Below are 20,948 nucleotides of genomic sequence, written 5' to 3'. Positions count from 1 at the left end.
GTTGACATTTAGTTCTTAACATTTTTTGAAATGATTATCTTTTCTCTATGGTGTGTTCATGGCAGCTTTGTGGAAGATCATTTAATCATATACACAAGGGTTCATTTCTGAACTCTCTATTCTGCTCTTTCATCTGTTTATCTGTCTTTGTATCAGTACCATACTGTTTTTGTTATTGTAGCTTTTAATGTTTTAAAATCGGGAAGTATAATGCCTGTTTGTTCTTTTCATGGGTGTTTGGTTAGTTATAGTTCACAATCACATTTAAAAATTTTAAAGAATATTTCTGTAATAACTGTGCTATTGAGATTTTTATAGAGATTGTACTGAATTTGTTCACCTCTGTAGGTTGTATTGGCATCTTAACAAAATTAAAATTTTTGACCCTCGAGCAGGAATATGTTGAAGAATGTGTTTTAATTTAATTTTATTTTATTTTATTTATTAGAGACAGTTTATTTATTAGAGACTAGCCTATGTTGCCTAGGCTAGTTTCCAACACCTGTGCTCAAGCAGGTCTCTTGCCTCAGCCTCCCAAAATGGTAGTATTACAGGTGTGAGCCATTGCACTCAGCCCATGTGTTTTATTTTTAGATATTGTTGGAGTTGCCAGTTTTACTTTTGCTTTTAATTCCTAGTTTTATTCAGTTTTGGTCAGATACCATGCAGTGCATGATTTTGGTCTTCTTAAATTTATTTGTTGTTGTCATTTTCAGACATGATCATACTCCGTCACCCAGGCTGGAGTATAGTGTCATAATTTTGGCTCACTGCAACCTCAGCCTGCTTGACTCAAGTGATCTTTACACCTCAGCCTCCTGAGTAGCTGAGACTATGGACATGCACTACCATGCCTGGCTAATTTTTTGATTATTTCTAGGGACAGGCTCTCACTATGTTACTGACACTGGTCTTATACTTGTGGTCCCAAGTGATCCTCTCACTTTTGTCTTCCAAATTGTTGAAATTATGCGTATCAGCCACTACGTATTCTTCAATAAGACTTGTTATGTGTTCTAACAGAATACATCAGGTGCAAATAAGAATATTGTGTATTATTTTGCTTTTAACTGAAAAATTTTGTACATGTCTGTTAAGCCTAGTTTGTCTGTGATATGGTTTGGATGAACATGTTCTGCAAACCTCATGCTGCGATGTAATCCCCAATGTTGGATGTGGAACCTGGTAGGGAGGTGTTTAGGTCATGGGGACGAATTTCTCATAAATGCCTTGGCACCAGCCTTTTGATAATCAGAAAGTTTACACTTCATTAATTCAAATGAGAGCTGGTTCATTAAAAGAACCTGGCCTTTTTTATTTTTTTGAGATGGAGTTTCACTCTGTAGTCTAGGCTGGAGTGCAATGGTACCATCACGGCTCACTGCAACTTCCACCTCCCTGATTCATGCAATTTTCTTGCCTCAGCCTCCCAAGTAGCTGGGATATAGGCACCCGCCACCATGCCCAGCTAATTTTTGTAGTTTTTTAGTAGAGATGGGATTTCACCATGTTGGTCAGGCTGGTTTCGAACTCCTGACCTCATCGACCTCCCAAAGTGCTTGGATTACAGGCGTGAGTCTCTGCGCCTGGCCTGAACCTGGCTTTTTCACCTTACACTTGCTCTTTTTCTTACCACATCCAGTTTCCATTCTCTGTATATGACTAGTCAGTTCTCCCAGAACCATTTATTAAATAGGGAGTTCTTTCCTTATTGCTTGTTTTTGTCAGGTTTTTCAAAGATCAGGCAGTTGTAGATTTGCAGTCTTATTTCTGAGTTCTCTATTCTGTTTCATGGGTCTATGTGTCTGTTTTTATACCAGTGCCAGGCTGTTTTGGTTACTACAGCCTTGTAGTATAGTTTGAAGTTGGATAGCATGATGCCTCCAGCTTTGTTCTTTTTGCCTAAGATTGTCTTGGCTATATGGGGCCTTTTTGGGTTCCACATTAATTTTAAAATAGTTTTCTCATTCTCCATCAGTTTTTTTTTTTTTTTTTTTTTTTTTTTTTTTTTTTTTTTTTTGACATAGTGTCACTCTATCGCCCAGGCTGGACTGCAGTGGCACCATCTCGGCTCATTGCAACCTCCACCTCCTGGGTTCAAGCAGTTCCCCTGACTCAGTTTCCTGAGTAGCTGGGATCACAGGCGTGCGCTACCACACCCAGATAATTTTTGTATTTTTAATAGAGATGGGGTTTCACCATGTTGGCCAGGCTGGTCTTGAACTCCTAACCTCAGCTGATCTGCCCGCCTCAGCCTCTCAAAGTGCTGGGATTACAGGCAAGAACCACTGTGCCCGGCCTGCATCGATATTTATCAGGGATATTGGTTTTAAGTTTTTGTTGTTGTTGTTTTTATATCTCTGCCAGGTTGGATATCAGAATGATGCTGATCTTATAAAATGAGGGAGGAGTTCCTACTTTTCTTTCATTTAAAATGGTTTCAGAAGAAATGGTGCCAGCTCTTCTTTGTACCTCTGGTAGAATTCAGCTGTAAATCCATCTGGTCCTGGGCTTCTTTTGGTTGGCAGCCTACTTATTACTGTCTCAATTTCAGAACTTGTTGTTGGTCTATTCAGGGATTCAACTTCTTCCTGGTTCAGTCTTGGGAGGGTGTAGATGTCCAGTAATTTATCCATTTCTTCTAGATTTTCCAGTTTATGTGCATAGTGGTGTTTATAGTATTTTCTGATGATTGTATTTCCTTTTTTTTTTTTCTTCTTTTTTTTTATTTTTGGAATGAAGTCTCACTCTTGTCCCCCAGGCTGGAGTGTGATGGTGCAATCTCGGTTCACTGCAACATCCGCCTCCTGGGTTCAAGTAATTCTCCTGCCTCGGCCGCCTGAGTAGATGGGATTATAAGCACCAGCCACCATGCCCAACTAATTTTTTTTATTTTTTTATTTTTAGTAGAGACAGGGTTTCACTTTGTTGGCCAGGCTGCTCTAGAAGTCCTGACCTCAGGTGATCCACCCACTTCACCCTCCCAAAGTGCTGGGATTACAGGCATGATCTACCACGCCAAGCCCTGATGATTGTATTAATGTAGGGTCAGTGCTGATATCTGCTTTATCATTTTTTATTGTGTCTATTTCATTCTTCTCTCTTTTCTTTATTAATCTAGCTAGTGGTCTATCTCTTTTATTTTATTTTTTTTAAACAGCTCCTGGATATATTGATTTTTTTGAAGGGTTTTTTTTGTGTCTCTATCTCCTATGGTTCCACTCTGATCCTGGTTATTTTTTGTCTTCTGCTGGCTTTGGGGTTTGTTTGCTCTTGGTTCTCTTTTCCTTTTAGTTGTGATGTTAGGAAGTCAATTTGAGATCTTTCTAGCTTTTTGATGTGGGTATTTAGTGCTATATTTTCCCCCTTAACACTACTTTAGCTGCATTCCAGAGATTCTGGTATATTGTCTCTTTGTTCTCATTGGTTTCAAAGAATTTTTTTATTTCTGACTTAATTTTATTATTTACTCAGAAGTCATTCAGGAGTATGTTGTTAAATTTCCATGCAGTTGTGTGGTTTTGAGTGAGATTCTTACTCTTGAGTTCTAATTTGATTGCACTGTGGTCTGAGAAACTGTTATGATTTTGGTTCTTTTGAATTTGCTAAGGAATGTTTTACTTCCAATTATGTAATCAATTTTAGAGTAAGTGCCATGTGGCAATTAGAAGAATGTGTATTGTGTTTTTGGCTGGTGAGTTCTGTAAATATCTATCAGGTCCACTTGACCTAGAGCTGAGTCCAAGTCCTGAATATCCTTGTTATTTTTCTCTCTCAGAGATCTGTCTAGTATTGGCAGTGGGGTGTTAAAGTCTCCCACTGTCATTGTTTGGGAGTCTAAGTCTCTTTGTAGGTATCTAAGTATGTTTTATAAATCTGAGTGCTGGCTGGATGTGTGGCTCATGCCTGTAATGCCAGCATTTTGGGAGGCCAAGGCAGGCAGATCCCCTGAGGTCAGGAGTTTGAGACCAGCCTAGACATGGTGAAACTCTGTCTCTATTAAAAATACAAAAATTAGCTGGGCATAGTGGTTGGTGCCTGTAATCCCACCTACTCAGGAAGCTGAGGCAGGAGAATCACTTGAACCTGCGAAGTGAAGGTTGCAGTGAGCCAAGATCGCGCCATTGCACTCTAGCATGGGCAACAGAGTGAGATTCCATCTCAAAAAAATAAATCAATAAGGCCGGGCATGGTGGCTCACGCCTGTAATGCCAGCACTTTTGGAGGCTGAGGCTGACAGATCATGAGGTCGGGAGATCGAGACCATCCTGGCTAACAAGGTGAAACCCCGTCTCTACTAAAAATACAAAATACTAGCCGAATGTGGTGGCGGGCACCTGTAGTCCCAGCTGCTCAGGAGGCTGAGGCAGGAGAATGGTGTGAACCCGGGAGGCAGAGCTTGCAGTGAGCCAAGATCATGCCACTGTACTCCAGCCTGGGTGACAGAGTAAGACTCCGTCTCAAAAAAAATCAATCAAGCGAGCAATAAAAACAAATCTGGGTGTTCCTTGAATTGATCCCTTTAGCATTATGTAGTGTCCTTCCTTGTCTTTTTTGATCTTTGTTGGTTTAAAGTCTGTTTTATCAGAAACTATGATTGCAACCTCTGCTTTTTTTCTGATTTTATTTGCTTGGTAAATTCTTCTCCCTTTATTTTGAGGCTATGTGTGTCGTTGCATGTGAGATGGGTCTCTTGAATACAGCACACCAGTGAGTTGACTCTTTAACCAGCTTGCCATTCTGTGCCTTTTTTTTTTTTTTTTTTTTTGAGACAGAGTCTTACACGGTCGCCCAGGCTGGAGTCTGGAGTGCAGTGGCACAATCTTGGCTCACTTCCAGCTCCGCCTCCGGGGTTCATGCCATTCTCCTGCCTCAGCCTCCCGAGTAGCTGGGACTACAGGCACCCACCACCACGCCCTGCTAATTTTTTGTATTTTTAGTAGAGACGGGGTTTCACCGTGTTAGCTAAGATGGTCTCGATCTCCTGACCTCATGATCCACCCACCTCGGCCTCCAAAAGTTCTGGTATTAATTGGAGCATTCAGTCCATTTAAATTTAAGGTTAATATTGTTATGTGTGAATTTGATCCTGTTCTCATGGTGCTAGCTGGTTATTTTGCAGACCTGTTGACGTAGTTGTTTTGTAGTGTCATTGGTCTTTGTACTTCAATGTGTTTTGCATTTGCTGGTAGTGGTTTCTTCTTTTCATATTTAGTGCTTCTTTCAGGAGCTCTTGCAAAGCAGGCCTAGTGGTGATGAATTCCCTCAGCATTTGTTTGTCTGAAAATGATTTCATTTCTCCTTCACTATGAAGCTTAGTTGCAGGATATTCTGGGTTAGAAATTCATTTTTTTTAAGAATGCTGAATATTGGCCCCCAATGTCTTCTGGCTTGTAGGGTATCTTTTTAGAGGTCCACTTTTACTCTGATGGGCTTCCCTTTCTGGGTGACCTGGCCTTCCGGTTGGCTGTCCTTATCATTTTTTCCTGAAGTTTAAACTTGAATAATCTGATAATTATGTGTCTTGAGGTTGATCTTCTCATGGAGTATCTTACTGGGGTCCTCTGGATTTTCTGAATTTGAATGATGGCCTGTCTTGTTAGGTTGGAAAAGTTTTTCTCGATGATATCCTGAAGTATGTTTTCCAACTTGGTTCCATTCTTTCCCTCTCTTTAGTGTACTGCAATCAGTTGTAAGTTTGGTCTGTTTACATAATCCAATAGTTCTTGAAGATTTTTTTCATTCCTTTTTATTTTTATTTTTTCAATCTTATCTGCCTTATTTTAGCAAGATAGTCTTCAAGCTCTGAAATTCTTTTTCCTGCTTGGTCTACTCAGTTACTGATACTTGTGGTTGCATTGTGAGGTTCTCATGTTGTTTTTCAGTTGCATCAGGTCGTTTATGTTCCTCTCTAAACTGGTTATTCGGGTTAACAGCTCCTGTAATGTTTTTCATGGTTCCTGGCTTTTTTGCATTGGGTTAGAACATGCTTCATTAGCTCACTGAAGTTCATTATTACCCACCTTCTGAAGCCTACTTCTGTCAGTTTATCCATCTCAGGCTTCTCCCGGTTCTGTGCTCTTGCTGGAAATATGTTTTGATTATTTGGAGGAGTAGAGACACTCTGGGTTTTTGAGTTTTCAGCATTTTTTGGTTGATTCTTCTGATCGTCATGAGTTTATCTAGCTTTGGTCTTTGAGGCTGCTGACCTTTGGATGGGGTTTTTGTGGGGACATTTTTGTTGATGCTGCTGTGGTTGCTTTCTGTTTTTCCTTTAACAGTCAGGCCCGTCTTCTGTAGGGCCGCTGTGATTTGCTTGGGATCCACTTCAGATCCTATTTGCCTGGGTTTCTCCCACACCTGGAGGTGTCACCAGTGGAGTGTGTAGAACAGCAGAGAGAACTGCCTGCTCCTTCATCTGTAAGCTTTATCCCAGATGGGCACTGAGCTGATGACAGTGGGAATACTTCTTTATAAGTTGTCTTACAATGCCTGTTGGTGGGGTGGTCCTCACTCAGTCAGGATGCACAGGATTCAGGAACCATTTAACAAGGCACTCTGGCTGCTTCTTGGTGAAGGGGGTGTGCTTCACTGGGAGAAATTCCATACATCTGGACTGCCCAGATTCCTCAGCCAGCAGGGGGAAAGACTAAGTCTGCTGATCTGCAGAAATCACCTCATTGTTACTATTTTATGTGTTTCTTGTAGATATGTCTTTTCTCATTTCCTGTGTTACTACCTTAATTTTTGTTTGTTTTAATTTTGTTGTGACTTGCTTTGATTATTTTTTATTTTGTTTTGCATACTTTCCAGAAGTATAATGTAATCATCTTGAAATATAATGTAACCATATTGAAAAACAGATTACATAAAACATCTTAAAGTTAAAACAATGTATTTTAATCTCATCACACCTTCAATTAAGTACAAAACCTCTGTTGTTATATTTTCCAATTTGTTATTAATATTAAAAACCATATTATCTTACATTGTGTATCTATTAACAGATTTATGCAGATTTATATCTTGTTTTTTATATCTAAAGAACTGTAAGGGTTTTATGTGCATCATTATGATAGTAAAAAAATTCTATATGTGTCTGTATTTACATTTAATAGAGAGTTTTATATTTATACATTTTTTTGATACTTCTGGCATCATTTTGTTCTTCAACATAATGGACTCATTTTAGCATTTCTTTTTGTTTATATGCAGAGTTTCACTATGTTTCTCTGGCTGATCTTGAACTACTGGTCTCAAGTGATCTATCTGCCTTGGCTTCCTAAAGCTGTAGAATTACAGGCCTGAGCCACTGTGCCTGGCCACCATGTAACATTTTATGTAGGACTGTGGTAGTTGTAATAAATGCCCTGAATTTTTATTTTGGAAAGTCCTTATTTTTATCTTGTTTTTGAAGTAAAATAATTTTGAATTAAATATTGGTTAGAAATTTTTTTGTTACATAAAAATTTGGGAAGTTCTCAGCCTTTTTTGTCTTCAAGTTACCTCTGTATTACTTTTTCCCTATATTCTTCTAAGATTCATTTGATGAATATATTGATCTACTTGATGGCATCCAATACGTTTTACATTCCATATTTTAATTTTGTGTTATATATTTTACATATATTATATATATATATATTTTATATTGTGTTATGTATTTTAAGGTATGACACCTAACACCAGTTGCTTGTGTTTTGGTGTTTTATTTTATATTGCCATTGTGTATGACAGTGTTTAACTCTGTACAATTTAAGACTGTGTCTAGCCAAATCAAATATAAATCAGCCATATGTCTACTGCCAATATAATTACCTCTGTGTTTGTTTGCCTCTACAAATATCATCTCTGTTTATTTTATGACTTGTATATTTGTTGTGTAGGTTTGTTGTAAATGGTCGTTCAATCTTGGCTAGGTGACCAGTTATAAAAATTCTCCTAATTTCAATATCTGTTGTGAATCTACATTACTTCTATGTGGGAGAAACACTTTGGGATTTGAAGATAATATTGAAACTATTGTAACTGTATCTTTCTTGGTATTAATTGTTCATTTTTACTTGAACACATAAAATATTAGCAATTTTTTTTTTTTGAGACGGAGTCTCGCTCTGTCGCCAAGACTGGGGTGTAGTGGCGGGATCTTGGCTCGCTGCAACCTCCGCCTCCTGGGTTCAAGTGATTCTTTTGCCTCACTGTGTTGGCCAGGCTGGTCTCGAACTCCTGACCTTGTGATCCGCCCACCTTGGCCTCCCAAAGTGCTGGGATTACAGATGTGAGTCCCGGCACCAGGCCCATTATCAAATATTTTTTAATATTCTGTTTATTCCTCTTAATTATATTGATAATGTTATGCAGCATACCCCTAGAATGTTTTATCTTGCAAAGCTAAATCTCAATGTACAACAACCAATTTGTCTGATGTTCTGGCACTTTGCAAACACCACTTTGTTTTCTATTTCTAAGAATGTGACTGCTTCATGTGTCTCATACAATCTCTGTCTCATTGTGGCTAGCTCATTTTATTTTGCATAATGTCATCAAGCTTTATTTTTAGAGTTATTAGAATATTTCCTGCTTTTTAAATCCTGGATGATATTCCAGTATTTTTATATTGCAAATTATATCTATTGGATAATTTGGTGACAGAAAGTTGCATTGCCGGGCACGGTGGCTCATGCCTGTAATCCCAGCACTTTGAGAGGCTGAGGCAGGCGGATATCAAGGTCAAGAGATCGAGACCATCCTGGCCAACATGGTGAAATGCTGTCTCTGCTAAAAATACAAAAATTAGCCAGGCATGGTGGCACACACCTGTAGTCCCAGCTACTCAGGAGGCTGAGGCAGGAGAATCACTTGAACCCAGGAGGCGGAGGTTGCAGTGAGCCAAGATCATGCCACTGCACTCCAGCCTGGGCAACAGTGCAAGACTCCATCTCAAAAAATAAAAAATAAAAAAAAAAGGAAAGAAAAAGGAAAGAAACTTGCATTGCTATTGGTAAAAAATGCTGCAATAATTATGGATATGAAAATAACTCTTCATATAAACATATATGTGAAAGTTTCTATAGATGTGGCATTCTATTTTATTAGTCTACTTTTTAACCATTATACTCATACCAACTTGTTTTAATTATGTAGCTTTGCAATGTGCTTTTAAATCAGGAACTATAATGCCTTCAACATTTTCTTTTTTTTGAAGACTCTTGGGTACTTTATTGTCTCTTGACATTTTATATACTTTTGGGGTTGTTGTTTCTAGTTTCTCAAAAATGCAATGAGAAATTTTTAACAACATTGCACTAAATCTGTAGATTACTTTGAAAAGTATGGACATTTTCAAAATATCTATTATTTCTATCTTTGAACAGGAGCATGCTCAAGAGTGTGTTAATTTCCATATATTTGTAAATGTTTAATTGTTTTTCTATTATTGTTTTATACTCCCATTTTGTTCATGTAATATAATCCATACAATCTCAGTCTTAACAAATGTGTTAAGACTTCTTTTTTGGCCTAACATGTGGTCTATTAAGGAGAATGTTGTATGAGCAATTGAGAAGCATGTGTATCCCGATATTGTTGAGGAATCTTCTCTATACCTCTGTTAGAAATAATTGTTTTATACTGCCTTCACGTCCTCTCTTCACTTACAAATATTCTGTTTTGATTTATTTTTATTACAGAAAGTAAGTTATTGAAATGTCCTACTATAGTATTGCTGTCTAGATGTTTCTTCAGTTCTATCAATATTTGCTTTATGTATTTGGAACCTTAATGTGAGATACACACACACACACACACACACACACACACACACTTAGGTTATCAGTAAATGAATCTATTATTGTTTAATGCCCTTCTTTGTCTCTTTGCAGTTTTGACTTGCAGTACATTTTATAAAATATGAAAGTTTTTCACGTAAGATGTAGCTTATGTAATATTATTTTGACCTCTTCTCTCATTTGGTTAATATTTACATGCAATATCTACATCCATCTTGCCACTTTCAGTTTTTTTTTAATCAATAGATCTCAGCTTACTGTCGTAGAAAGGCAAGTTGGATCTCAGTTTTTAAAATATTTAAATAAGTCTCTATTGAAAGTATGTCTCTTGATTGGAAAGTTAAACATATATATTTAAATAATTTTCTGAAACAGAAAGACATACTAATGTTATTTTATTAATTGTTTTATTTGATTCTTATATCTTGGTCACTCATTTTCTCTCTGTCTTTGTATCTTTTTATTTTTATATTGATATGCTTTTACTTCTTTCTTGTTTTGTGTATCTATACACACATGTTCTTTTTTGGACCTTGGGGATTACGTAAACCTCTAAAAGATATAACAGTATATTTCAATCTGGTAAAAAAGAACTTCAGTTGCATGCACATTTTTTTTCTCATTACTTCTCCCCTCAAATTTGTCATTGATTTTGCTAATTATATCTTTTTATGTTGTATATTTATTAACAGATGTTTATAATGATTTCTCTGATTTTCACTTTCAAATTTTAGAGAATAATTAAAAATGTTTTCTGCACCATTATGATAATGCTAAGGAATTCCATTTTGGTGTATGTGCATATACTTAGAAGTAAAAGTATATATGTGCATATAATCTTTCCCAGAAAGTAATGTATTTTTTTGTTGTTTTTTGTTTTTGTTTTGTTTTGTTTTTATTTTTTCTTTCATTATTATACTTTAAGTTCTAGGGTACATGTGCACAATGTACAGGTTTGTTACATATGTATACATGTGCCATGTTGGTGTGCTGCACCCATTAACTCGTCGTTTACATTAGGTATTTCTCCTAATGCTATCCCTCCCCCCTCCCGAAAGTAATGTATTTTTATTTGACTGTGTTGTTTTTGTTGAATCATGTTATTTTCAATAGAAGCAACTGCTTTCAGTACATTTTGTATGTAGGGTTTATGGAGTTCCAATATACTTTTCAGAATTTTGTTACTTTTGAAAGTTATTTTCTTTTTATTTGGCAGGACAGATTTGCTGATAGTATTATGCTTACTTGATTGCTGTATTTTACAGGAGTTTGACTTTATTACACACTTCCCTTCTGGCCTGCAAAATTTTTATTGACAATTCACTGGCTGTCTCATAAGACTATGCTGGCAAATGACGCATCACTTTTATCTTGCAGCTCCCAAGGTTCTCTTGTCTGTGACTTTTGAAATTGTGCTTATATATGTGTTTGTTATAAATATCTTTGTGTGTTTCCTAGTTTGTTTGTTGAGCTTCTTCATCTTTACATCGTTTCTTTCAATATTTTTCAGCTATTCTTTTTTATATTTATTACCTCCACAATTTGTTTTTTTGATATTCTAAATATTTATGTTCTTATCTTCATTTTTCTGATTTTCTATAGTTCTCTGTCTTCCTGTTTCACTCACTGAGTATTATTCAATTTATTTTCAATTTTTAAAATCGGTGTGTATACATCTTTTTTATAGTTTCTTTTTTAAAATTTTATATTTTTATGGAACCATATTGCCTTATTTTGTATACATTGTAATCCTTGATTGAAATTTGGACATTAAAAAAGGCTACCTGTCACAATCTTTATAATGTAGCTTTGTCCTGGCATAGTCTGAACAATCGTCTTGGTTAGAGATTCTGGGAGTCTCTCAAACATGTTCTTAGAATGTGTCTTGTCTGAGATTTTGTCTTTCTCTTTTAGTTAAAGGAGTTTATTCATGTTTCTTCTTAATAATAATCACGTGCTACACCTGTTTTCTGTCTGTGGTACAGCAGTCTCTCTGTTGCTGAAACATTTACCTTTGGTCTCAGCAAAGTTAAGACTGTCACTCCAAAGTATACCACCGTTTCTTTCAGCATTATATTTCAAGAGAGACACAAACCAGTGTCTGGAAAGGCTCCTAGAAGCAAGTAATAAAGATAAATGTGCCAGTATTTTACTTGTCATTAAAAACAAGTTGGCAATTTACTTCTAAAGACAGTATGTTATATTGGGGAGCAGAAAGAGCTCTGTTGGGTAAATGTACAGACTTTTACTTCTAAGTGGCTCTTTGCATTGTTCTCACCAGGGGCACTTCACACACTTAACTCATTTATAATTTTTTTCAGATGTAATTTGGTTGGTTTTTTTTTTTTTACATTTATATGTCTATAAAGGAATGAGGGCCTTTGGTATTTTCCTATGCCATCTTATTTATGTAGTTTGTATATTAGAGGTTAGATTTGTAAACTATCTGTGTCTAGTAAGTAAAGTAATTTGTTATTTTTATTTCTTTCAGTTATATGTTCTCATTTTCCCCAAGACCTTTGGGCAGAGCAGGACATTAAAGATTCTTTTCAAGAAGCGATTCTGAAAAAATATGGAAAATATGGACATGACAATTTACAGTTACAAAAAGGCTGTAAAAGTGTGGATGAGTGTAAAGTGCACAAAGAACATGATAACAAATTAAACCAGTGTTTGATAACTACCCAGAGCAACATATTTCAATGTGATCCATCTGCAAAAGTCTTTCATACATTTTCAAATTCAAACAGACATAAGATAAGACATACTAGAAAGAAACCTTTCAAATGTAAAAAATGTGAAAAATCATTTTGCATGCTTTTACACCTAACTCAACATAAAAGATTTCATATTACAGAGAATTCCTACCAATGTAAAGATTGTGGCAAAGCCTTCAACTGGTTCTCAACCCTTACTACACACAGGAGAATTCATACTGGAGAGAAACCCTACAAATGTGAAGAATGTGGGAAAGCATTTAACCGGTCCTCACACCTTACTACACATAAGATAATTCATACTGGAGAGAAACCATACAGATGTGAAGAATGTGGGAAAGCTTTTAACCGGTCTTCACACCTTACTACACATAAAAGAATTCATACTGGAGTGAAACCCTACAAATGTACAGAATGTGGCAAAGCTTTTAACCGGTCCTCACACCTTACTACACACAGGATAATTCATACTGGAGAGAAACCCTACAAATGTGAAGAATGTGGCAAAGCCTTTAACCAGTCCTCAACCCTTACTACACATAAGATAACTCATGCTGGAGAGAAACCTTACAAATGTGAAGAATGTGGCAAAGCTTTTTACCGATTCTCATACCTTACTAAACATAAGACAAGTCATACTGGAGAGAAATTCTACAAATGTGAAGAATGCGGCAAAGGCTTTAACTGGTCCTCAGCCCTCACTAAACATAAGAGAATTCATACTGGAGAGAAACCCTACAAATGTGAAGAATGTGGCAAAGCTTTTAATGAGTCCTCAAACCTTACTACCCATAAGATGATTCATACTGGAGAGAAACCCTACAAATGTGACGAATGTGGCAAAGCCTTTAACCGGTCCTCACAACTAACTGCACATAAGATGATTCATACTGGAGAGAAACCCTACAAATGTGAGGAATGTGGCAAAGCTTTTAACCGATCCTCAACCCTTACTAAACATAAGATAACTCATACTGGAGAGAAATCTTACAAATGGGAAGAATGTGGTAAAGACTTTAACCAGTCCCTAAGCCTTATTAAACAAAATAACTCATACTGGAGAGAAACCCTACAAATGTGAAAAATGTGGCAAAGCCTTTTACCAGTCCTCAACTCTTACTAAACATAAAAAAATTCATACTGGAGGGAACTCCTGTGACTGTGAAGAATATGGCAAAGCCTTTAATAAATTCTCAATTCCTAACAGACATAAGATAATTCATACTAGAGAGAAATTCTACAAACCAGAAAGATGTGACAGTGCTTTGAAAACACCTCAAACTTTTCAAAACATAAATCATAGTGTTGAGAAATCCTAGAAATGTGAAGAATGTGATAAAGTTTTAAATGGTTGTCACACTTGATTGTAGGTAAGGTAAGTTATACTGGAGAAAACTTCTACATGTGTGAACAGTGTGACAAAACTTTTAACTAATGCTCACACCTTCACAGGAAAGCATTTATACTTGAGAAATATTGTACAAATATAAAGACTGTGAAAAAGCCATTAATACATGCTCACATCTTACTCAACATCAGAGAGTTCATACTCAATAAAAACATAAGTGCAACTACTGTCAAAATATCTTTAAGAAAATATAAGCTTTTAAAGTGAAGAGTATTTTGAAGAAGAACATTGTAGTAGAATTGTAATATGTTTACTTGTATCACAGATCTTACTGTACACGTTTTGTATTAGAGGAAACCTCTGAAGCAGTTGCTCAAACTTTGTTCAATATCAGGGAATTTATATTGAAAAAAACTGTGCGAATGTAATAAAGTTGGAAAAATACTTTTTCAAAAACTACAGCTTAGAAAACACCAGAGAGTTCATACTAAAACATATTTTTGCAGATACAGGAAAAATTTTTTAAAAATTTTAATCATTAAGTCTGTAAATATCAGAGAATTTACAGTAGAAATATGTAAGGCACTGATGCTTCAGGTATTTTACTAAATCAGAGTGCTGAGTATAGAAAATAATCTAAAACTAAAATTGGTAAAATATTTGTATATAACTTTAAAAGTAGAAATTTTTTGCAGTTATTGCATTCAAAGTATGCTTAACTTTTTGAAAAAATTAGATTTTTTGAAAAGTGAGTAATAATGTAATTCAACTCTTAAATTATTTCCTGCCTTTTCTTCACTCCTATTTACATGTGAAAGCATGTGATCAATTGTTGCTGCATCAGATATGAGAGATTCTTTTTTATTAGGTGAGCATTATTTATAAACTTTGCTATGAAAAAGACATTAAAATATGAGATGTATGATGAAAATCTAAGTGAAGAGACTTTTATGGTTAACTTATAATATTAAGCAATGTGTGCGTTAGGCATTCAGAGTAATATTCTGCATTATGAGAAAACTTAATTTCATTTATAAGTAAATTAAAATTAGTATATTTTACTAATACTTTTATATAAAATGCAGTATATTTTTTAAATTTCAGATTATATGTGATGTTAATATATTCAACCTTTTTAACATGTTAAATACTATTGTGCATTCAGTGAAGTGTTATTATGCCACAGACATTAACCTATTCCACCTTACTCAAGGGTGTACGTAAAACATGGTAACAGTATACTATTTGGTAACATAATGGATTAACATCTCTAGTAATCTCTTTTGCTAGTGGCTTTGACTGCAAATAAGTTAAAGAATATTATTTCTGTAGGTTAAATTTTTGTTTTTATTTTATTTTATTTTTGAGAGGTAGTCTTGCTCTGTCACCCAGGCTGGAGTGCAGTGGCACGATCTCGGCTCACTGTAACCTCCACCTCCTGGGTTCACGCAATTCTCCTGCCTCAGCCTCCTAAGTAGCTGGGATTACAGGCACCCACCACCATGCCCAGCTAATTTTTGTATTTTAGTAGAGACAGGGTTTCATAATGTAAGTCAAGCTGGTCTCGAACTCCTGACCTTAAATGATTTGCCTGCCTCGGCTTCCCAAAGTTCTGGGATTACAGGCATGAGCCACCGTGCCCAGCCAAATGTTTATTTTATTTAAATTTATTTTTCTTAATTATTTGGGGTACATAATATGAGTATATATTCATGCAATATATGGCATATTTTGATACAAGAATACAGTATATAATAATCACATCAGGGTAAATGAGGTATCCATCACCTCTAGTATTTATCCTTTGTATTACAAGCAACCCAGTTTTATACTTTTAGTTATTTTAAAATGTAAAATTAAATTGTTATTGATTACAGTGTTATTTTTATGGTCATAATAAAAGTTATGTAGAAGTATAATAAAATCCCTACATTTCTGAGGCCTGAATAAGTATTTTTAAAGTTTTCTAATATTTATTTTTTGAGCATGTTTCCTGTCTGCCTGCAAACACATGCAGACATTTAGTTTTGATTTACATATAGTTAAATATATGTTAGTCTAAAGATAAACCTTAAGTGTAAGAAAATTATAGAGTGAGTTTGTGTGTATGAATTTGTACCTGTTTTCCGAAGAAAAAAGCAATACTGAACAAAACAAATCATTTTAACAAGATGACTACTAGAAAACTAAAAGCCTCAAAAATGCTAAAAGAAAATGTATTCTCTGCTTTGTATTGAATTTATTACTGTACATTCTGTGGCTTATAGTTCTGAATCTCCCCATGAAAATTCTGTTTATACTTGCCTGGTACTCATGATAGACCCCTAATTATTTTGTATCTTTTTTCATATAAATATTTTACAGATTATGAAGTATTCATTATGTGAGCTGGTCTGTGATTATAAGAATAATTTTTACAAAATTTAGTGCATACAAAATTTTTAAATGTAATTCCACAATTAGTGTATTAAGTTACATTTTATTTAGTTAGAACACTTCATTTTGTTTTTAGTTGGAGAACTCTATAGCCCTTTAGTTATTTTTCTTTTCACTTTTTATAGTTGACATAAGTAAATTTATTTATTGAGTCAATTTGTTCAGGTAAGTACTAGGGAAGCTTTATAAGTCGTGAGGATGTTTTTATATTTAAATGTAGCAAACATACATGACAGTTCTTGCTGTGTAACAGATGCTCCATAGTAAGCCATAAGTATTCCTGCTAAAGTTAGCTTGTAACTTCAGTTCAGAGATGGAAAACATCAGTGGTGAAGAAATAAAATTGATTCTTCATGTGGAGAGGACATAGTTTCCAGGCTGCAATGCTGAATCTTGCTGAATTTAAAGAGAAGTTCTGCATCTTTTATTTCTTAATTATCTTCAGATTTCTCTGTATTTATTATGTGTATCCCCAGCTATGTATGCAGCACAGCCCATCTCCTTTTTCTGTGTTATGGCTTCAGTTTTCTCACTGTTGTCTTAATGCCATTTCATTTCACATGGTACTTTGTAAATTTTGACGAGAAAGTTGGTTGTTTTTTTTTTTTTTTTTTTTTTTGAGACAGAGTCTCACTCTTGTTGCCCAAGCTGGAGTGCAGTGGTGCAATGTGGGCTCACTGCAACCTCTGCCTTCCAGGTTCAAGCAATTATCCTGCCTCAGCCTCCCAAGTAGCTGGGATTACAGGCACCTGCCACCACATCTGGCTGAATTTTTTTTTTTTTAATTTTTTGTAGAGACGAAGTTTCACCATGTTGGCCAGGCTGGTTTCAAACTCCTGACCTCATATGATCCACCTGCCTCAGCCTCCCAAAGTGCTTGGATTACAGGCATAAGCCACTGCACCCAGCTGAAAGTTGGTATTTTTTAATGCACTGAATAATTGTTTTTAACTGGAGAGTTTGGTTATCAATATAACTTTCGGATTAGTTAAGATAAAAGCATACATTGTCCACAGGTGAGAAGATTAAATCAGAATAGTTGTTCTTTGTTAAAAAAAAAATTAGATTCTTAAAGTGTGGCAAACATAAAATTTGCAAGAAAATGTAGAAATTAAATTTTTAAGAGTTAATGGTAAGTGAACAATTTTAAATTTATTTTTTATTATGTAACATACTTTTATTAAAATATATACTTATATAATAAAAGTATAACATAATTTTTTTTTTTCTCACATTTAATAATAATTTTTTTTTTTTTTTTTTTTTTTTATTTTTATTGATCATTCTTGGGTGTTTCTCGCAGAGGGGGATTTGGCAGGGTCATAGGACAATAGTGGAGGGAAGGTCAGCAGATAAACAAGTGAACAAAGGTCTCTGGTTTTCCTAGGCAGAGGACCCTGCGGCCTTCCGCAGTGTTTGTGTCCCTGGGTACTTAAGATTAGGGAGTGGTGATGACTCTTAACGAGCATGCTGCCTTCAAGCATCTGTTTAACAAAGCACATCTTGCACCGCCCTTAATCCATTTAACCCTGAGTGGACACAGCACATGTTTCAGAGAGCACAGGGTTGGGGATAAGGTCACAGATCAACAGGATCCCAAGGCAGAAGAATTTTTCTTAGTACAGAACAAAATGTCTCCCATGTCTACTTCTATCCACACAGACCCGGCAACCATCCGATTTCTCAATTTTTTCCCCACCCTTCCCGCCTTTCTATTCCACAAAACCGCCATTGTCATCATGGCCCATCCCCAATGAGCCGCTGGGCACACCTCCCAGACGGGGTCGTGGCCGGGCAGAGGGGCTCCTCACTTCCCAGTAGGGGCGGCCCGGCAGAAGTGCCCCTCACCTCCCAGATGGGGCGGCTGGCCGGGCGGGGGGCTGACCCCCCCACCGCCCTCCCGGACGGGGCGGCTGGCCAGGCAGAGGGGCTCCTCACTTCCCAGTAGGGGCGGCCAGGCAGAGGCGCCCCTCACCTCCTGGATAGGGCGGCTGGCCGGGGGGGGGGCTGTTCCCCCCACCTCCCTCCCGGACGGGGCGGCTGGCCGGGCAGAGGGGTCCTCACTTCCCAGTAGGGGCGGCCGGGCAGAGGCGCCCCTCACCTCCCGGACGGGGCGGCTGGCCAGGCAGGGGGCTGATCCCCCCACCTCCCTCCCGGACGGGGCGGCTGGCCGGGCGGGGGGCTGACCCCCCCCACCTCCCTCCCGGACGGGGCGGCTGGCCGGGCGGGGGGCTGACCCCCCCTCCCCCCTCCTGGACGGGGCGGCTGGCCGGGTGGGGGGCTGACCCCCCCACCTCCCTCCCGGATGGGGCGGCTGGCCAGGCGGGGGGCTGACCCCCCCACCTCCCTCCTGGGCGGGGCGGCTGGCCGGGCAGAGGGGCTCCTCACTTCCCAGTAGGGGCGGCCGGGCAGAGGCGCCCCTCACCTCCCGGACGGGGCGGCTGGCCAGGCGGGGGGCTGACCCTCCACCTCCCTCCCGGACTGGGCGGCTGGCCGGGCGGGGGGTTGACCCCCCCACCTCCCTCCTGGACGGGGCGACTGGCCGGGCAGAGGGGCTCCTCACTTCCCAGTAGGGGCGGCCGGGCAGAGGAGCCCCTCACCTCCCGGCCGGGGCGGCTGGCCGACCCCCCCCCCCCCGCCTCCCTCCCGGACGGGGCGACTGGCCGGGCAGAGGGGCTCCTCACTTCCCAGTAGGGGCGGCCGGGCAGAGGAGCCCCTCACCTCCCGGACGGGGCGGCTGGCCGGGCGGGGGGCTGACCCCCCCCACCTCCCTCCCGGACGGGGTGGCTGCCGGGCGGAGACGCTCCTCACTTCCCAGACGGGGTGGTTGCCAGACGGAGGGGCTCCTCACTTCTCAGACGGGGCGGTTGCCAGGCAGAGGGTTTCCTCACTTCTCAGACGGAGCGGCCGGGCAGAGACACTCCTCACCTCCCAGACAGGGTTGCGGCCCAGCAGAGGCGCTCCTCACATCCCAGACAGGGCGGTGGGGCAGAGGTGCTCCCCACATCTCAGACGATGGGCGGCCGGGCAGAGACGCTCCTCACTTCCTAGATGGGATGGCGGCGGGGAAGAGGCGCTTCTCGCTTCCTAGATGGGATGGCGGCCGGGCAGAGACGCTCCTCACTTTCCACACTGGGCAGCCAGGCAGAGGGGCTCCTCATATCCCAGACGATGGGTGGCCAAGCAGAGACGCTCCTCACTTCCCAGACGGGGTGGCGGCCGGGCAGAGGCTGCAATCTCGGCTCTTTGGGAGGCCAAGGCAGGCGGCTGGGAGGTGGTTGTAGCGAGCCGAGATCACGCCACTGCACTCCAGCCTGGGCACCATTGAGCACTGAGTGAACGAGACTCCATCTGCAATCCCGGCACCTCGGGAGGCCGAGGCTGGCGGATCACTCGCGGTTAGGAGCTGGAGACCAGCCCGGCCAACACAGCGAAACCCCATCTCCACCAAAAAAAAACGAAAACCAGTCAGGCGTGGCGGCGCGCGCCTGCAATCGCAGGCACTCGGCAGGCTGAGGCAGGAGAATCAGGCAGGGAGGTTGCAGTGAGCCGAGATGGCAGCAGTACCGTCCAGCTTTGGCTCGGCATGAGAGGGAGAGGGAGACGGGAGAGGGAGAGGGAGACGGGAGAGGGAGAGGGAGACGGGAGAGGGAGAGGGAGACGGGAGAGGGAGAGGGAGACGGGAGAGGGAGAGGGAGACGGGAGAGGGAGAGGGAGACGGGAGGATAACACATATAATTTTTAAGTGAATGCTAAAGGCTACAAAATAATGAGCTCTGTGAATTTGAAACTTAAAAGAATATTGCTTTTCCATATTGATATTACAATTTGGAGGAATTTCTCATATAATTTTTTAAGTGGGTGAAGTTTAGTCTACAGTTTTTATTTTCTGTCCCTGAAATGCAGGCAACTCCTTAGTCATTTTTTCTGGATAAATTTTGGGCATCATGACAGCATTTGGATTAAAACATTTTCTGTTACTTTGCATGCAAACTAGTTTACTGTGTTCACAGAGTGGCCAGTCATGGGACCATAAGCAACACCTGCTCTTTGAGTGTCTTTCATACCATTACCATCAGCACCAGAAACTCCAGGTGCCCGGAGCTTAAAGTAAAAATCCTAAAGGACATAAGCTTCTTCCATGCAATGTGCTGGGTCCAGAACATACTGTTAAATATCGGAGTTCCTACGGTTATGACTGACAAATTAAATGATAAAAACACAAAAACTATATATCTTGATACTATTCAACCAAAAACAAAAACTATATATTTTGATACTATTCAACCAAGATTATGACAAAAACATGGACAGTATTTGACACATTGTTATCCTTCTATAAAGCTTTAAAAACTTAACTTGACAGATAAAATGTGTACTTTTTCTGTAGAACATAATATTTTGAAGTGTATATACATTGTCAGGTGATTAGTTCTAGGTAACTAATACTTCACATAGTTAACGTTTTTGTGGTGAGACCACATGACATTGTCTTACCACTTTTCAAAAATACAAAAACATGAGCTATAGTCACCATGCTGTACAAAAAAATCTCTTGAACTTATTTCTTCTATTCAACTCTATGTATTATTTGACAGATATCATTCCAACCCTCTTTTTTCTTTTTCTTTTTTGAGACAGTCTCACTCTGTCACCAGC

The 20,948-nt window shown here is 39.0% G+C and overlaps 1 protein-coding gene and 1 pseudogene across 7 annotated transcripts in view; both read left to right on the top strand.

Annotated features, from left to right (window-relative positions):
* ZNF100 (zinc finger protein 100) overlaps positions 1-17,498 on the top strand; it is a 44,809-nt gene extending 27,311 nt beyond the window's left edge. For all 7 annotated transcript variants that reach the window (NM_001351672.2, NM_001351671.2, NM_001351670.2 and 4 more), the window contains one exon: positions 12,280-17,498. In NM_001351672.2, the coding sequence (NP_001338601.1) occupies positions 12,603-13,586 (984 nt within the window). In that variant the 5' untranslated portion in view covers positions 12,280-12,602 and the 3' untranslated portion in view covers positions 13,587-17,498. The remainder of the gene's footprint in view (positions 1-12,279) is intronic.
* On the top strand, positions 20,129-20,642 carry VN1R84P (vomeronasal 1 receptor 84 pseudogene; annotated as a pseudogene).

Source organism: Homo sapiens, chromosome 19 (assembly GCF_000001405.40).
Source record: "Homo sapiens chromosome 19, GRCh38.p14 Primary Assembly".
Classification (NCBI taxonomy): domain Eukaryota; kingdom Metazoa; phylum Chordata; class Mammalia; order Primates; family Hominidae; genus Homo; species Homo sapiens.
The sequence above is the reverse complement of the archived record's forward strand: the minus strand, read 5'-3'. Positions and strand labels throughout refer to the sequence as shown.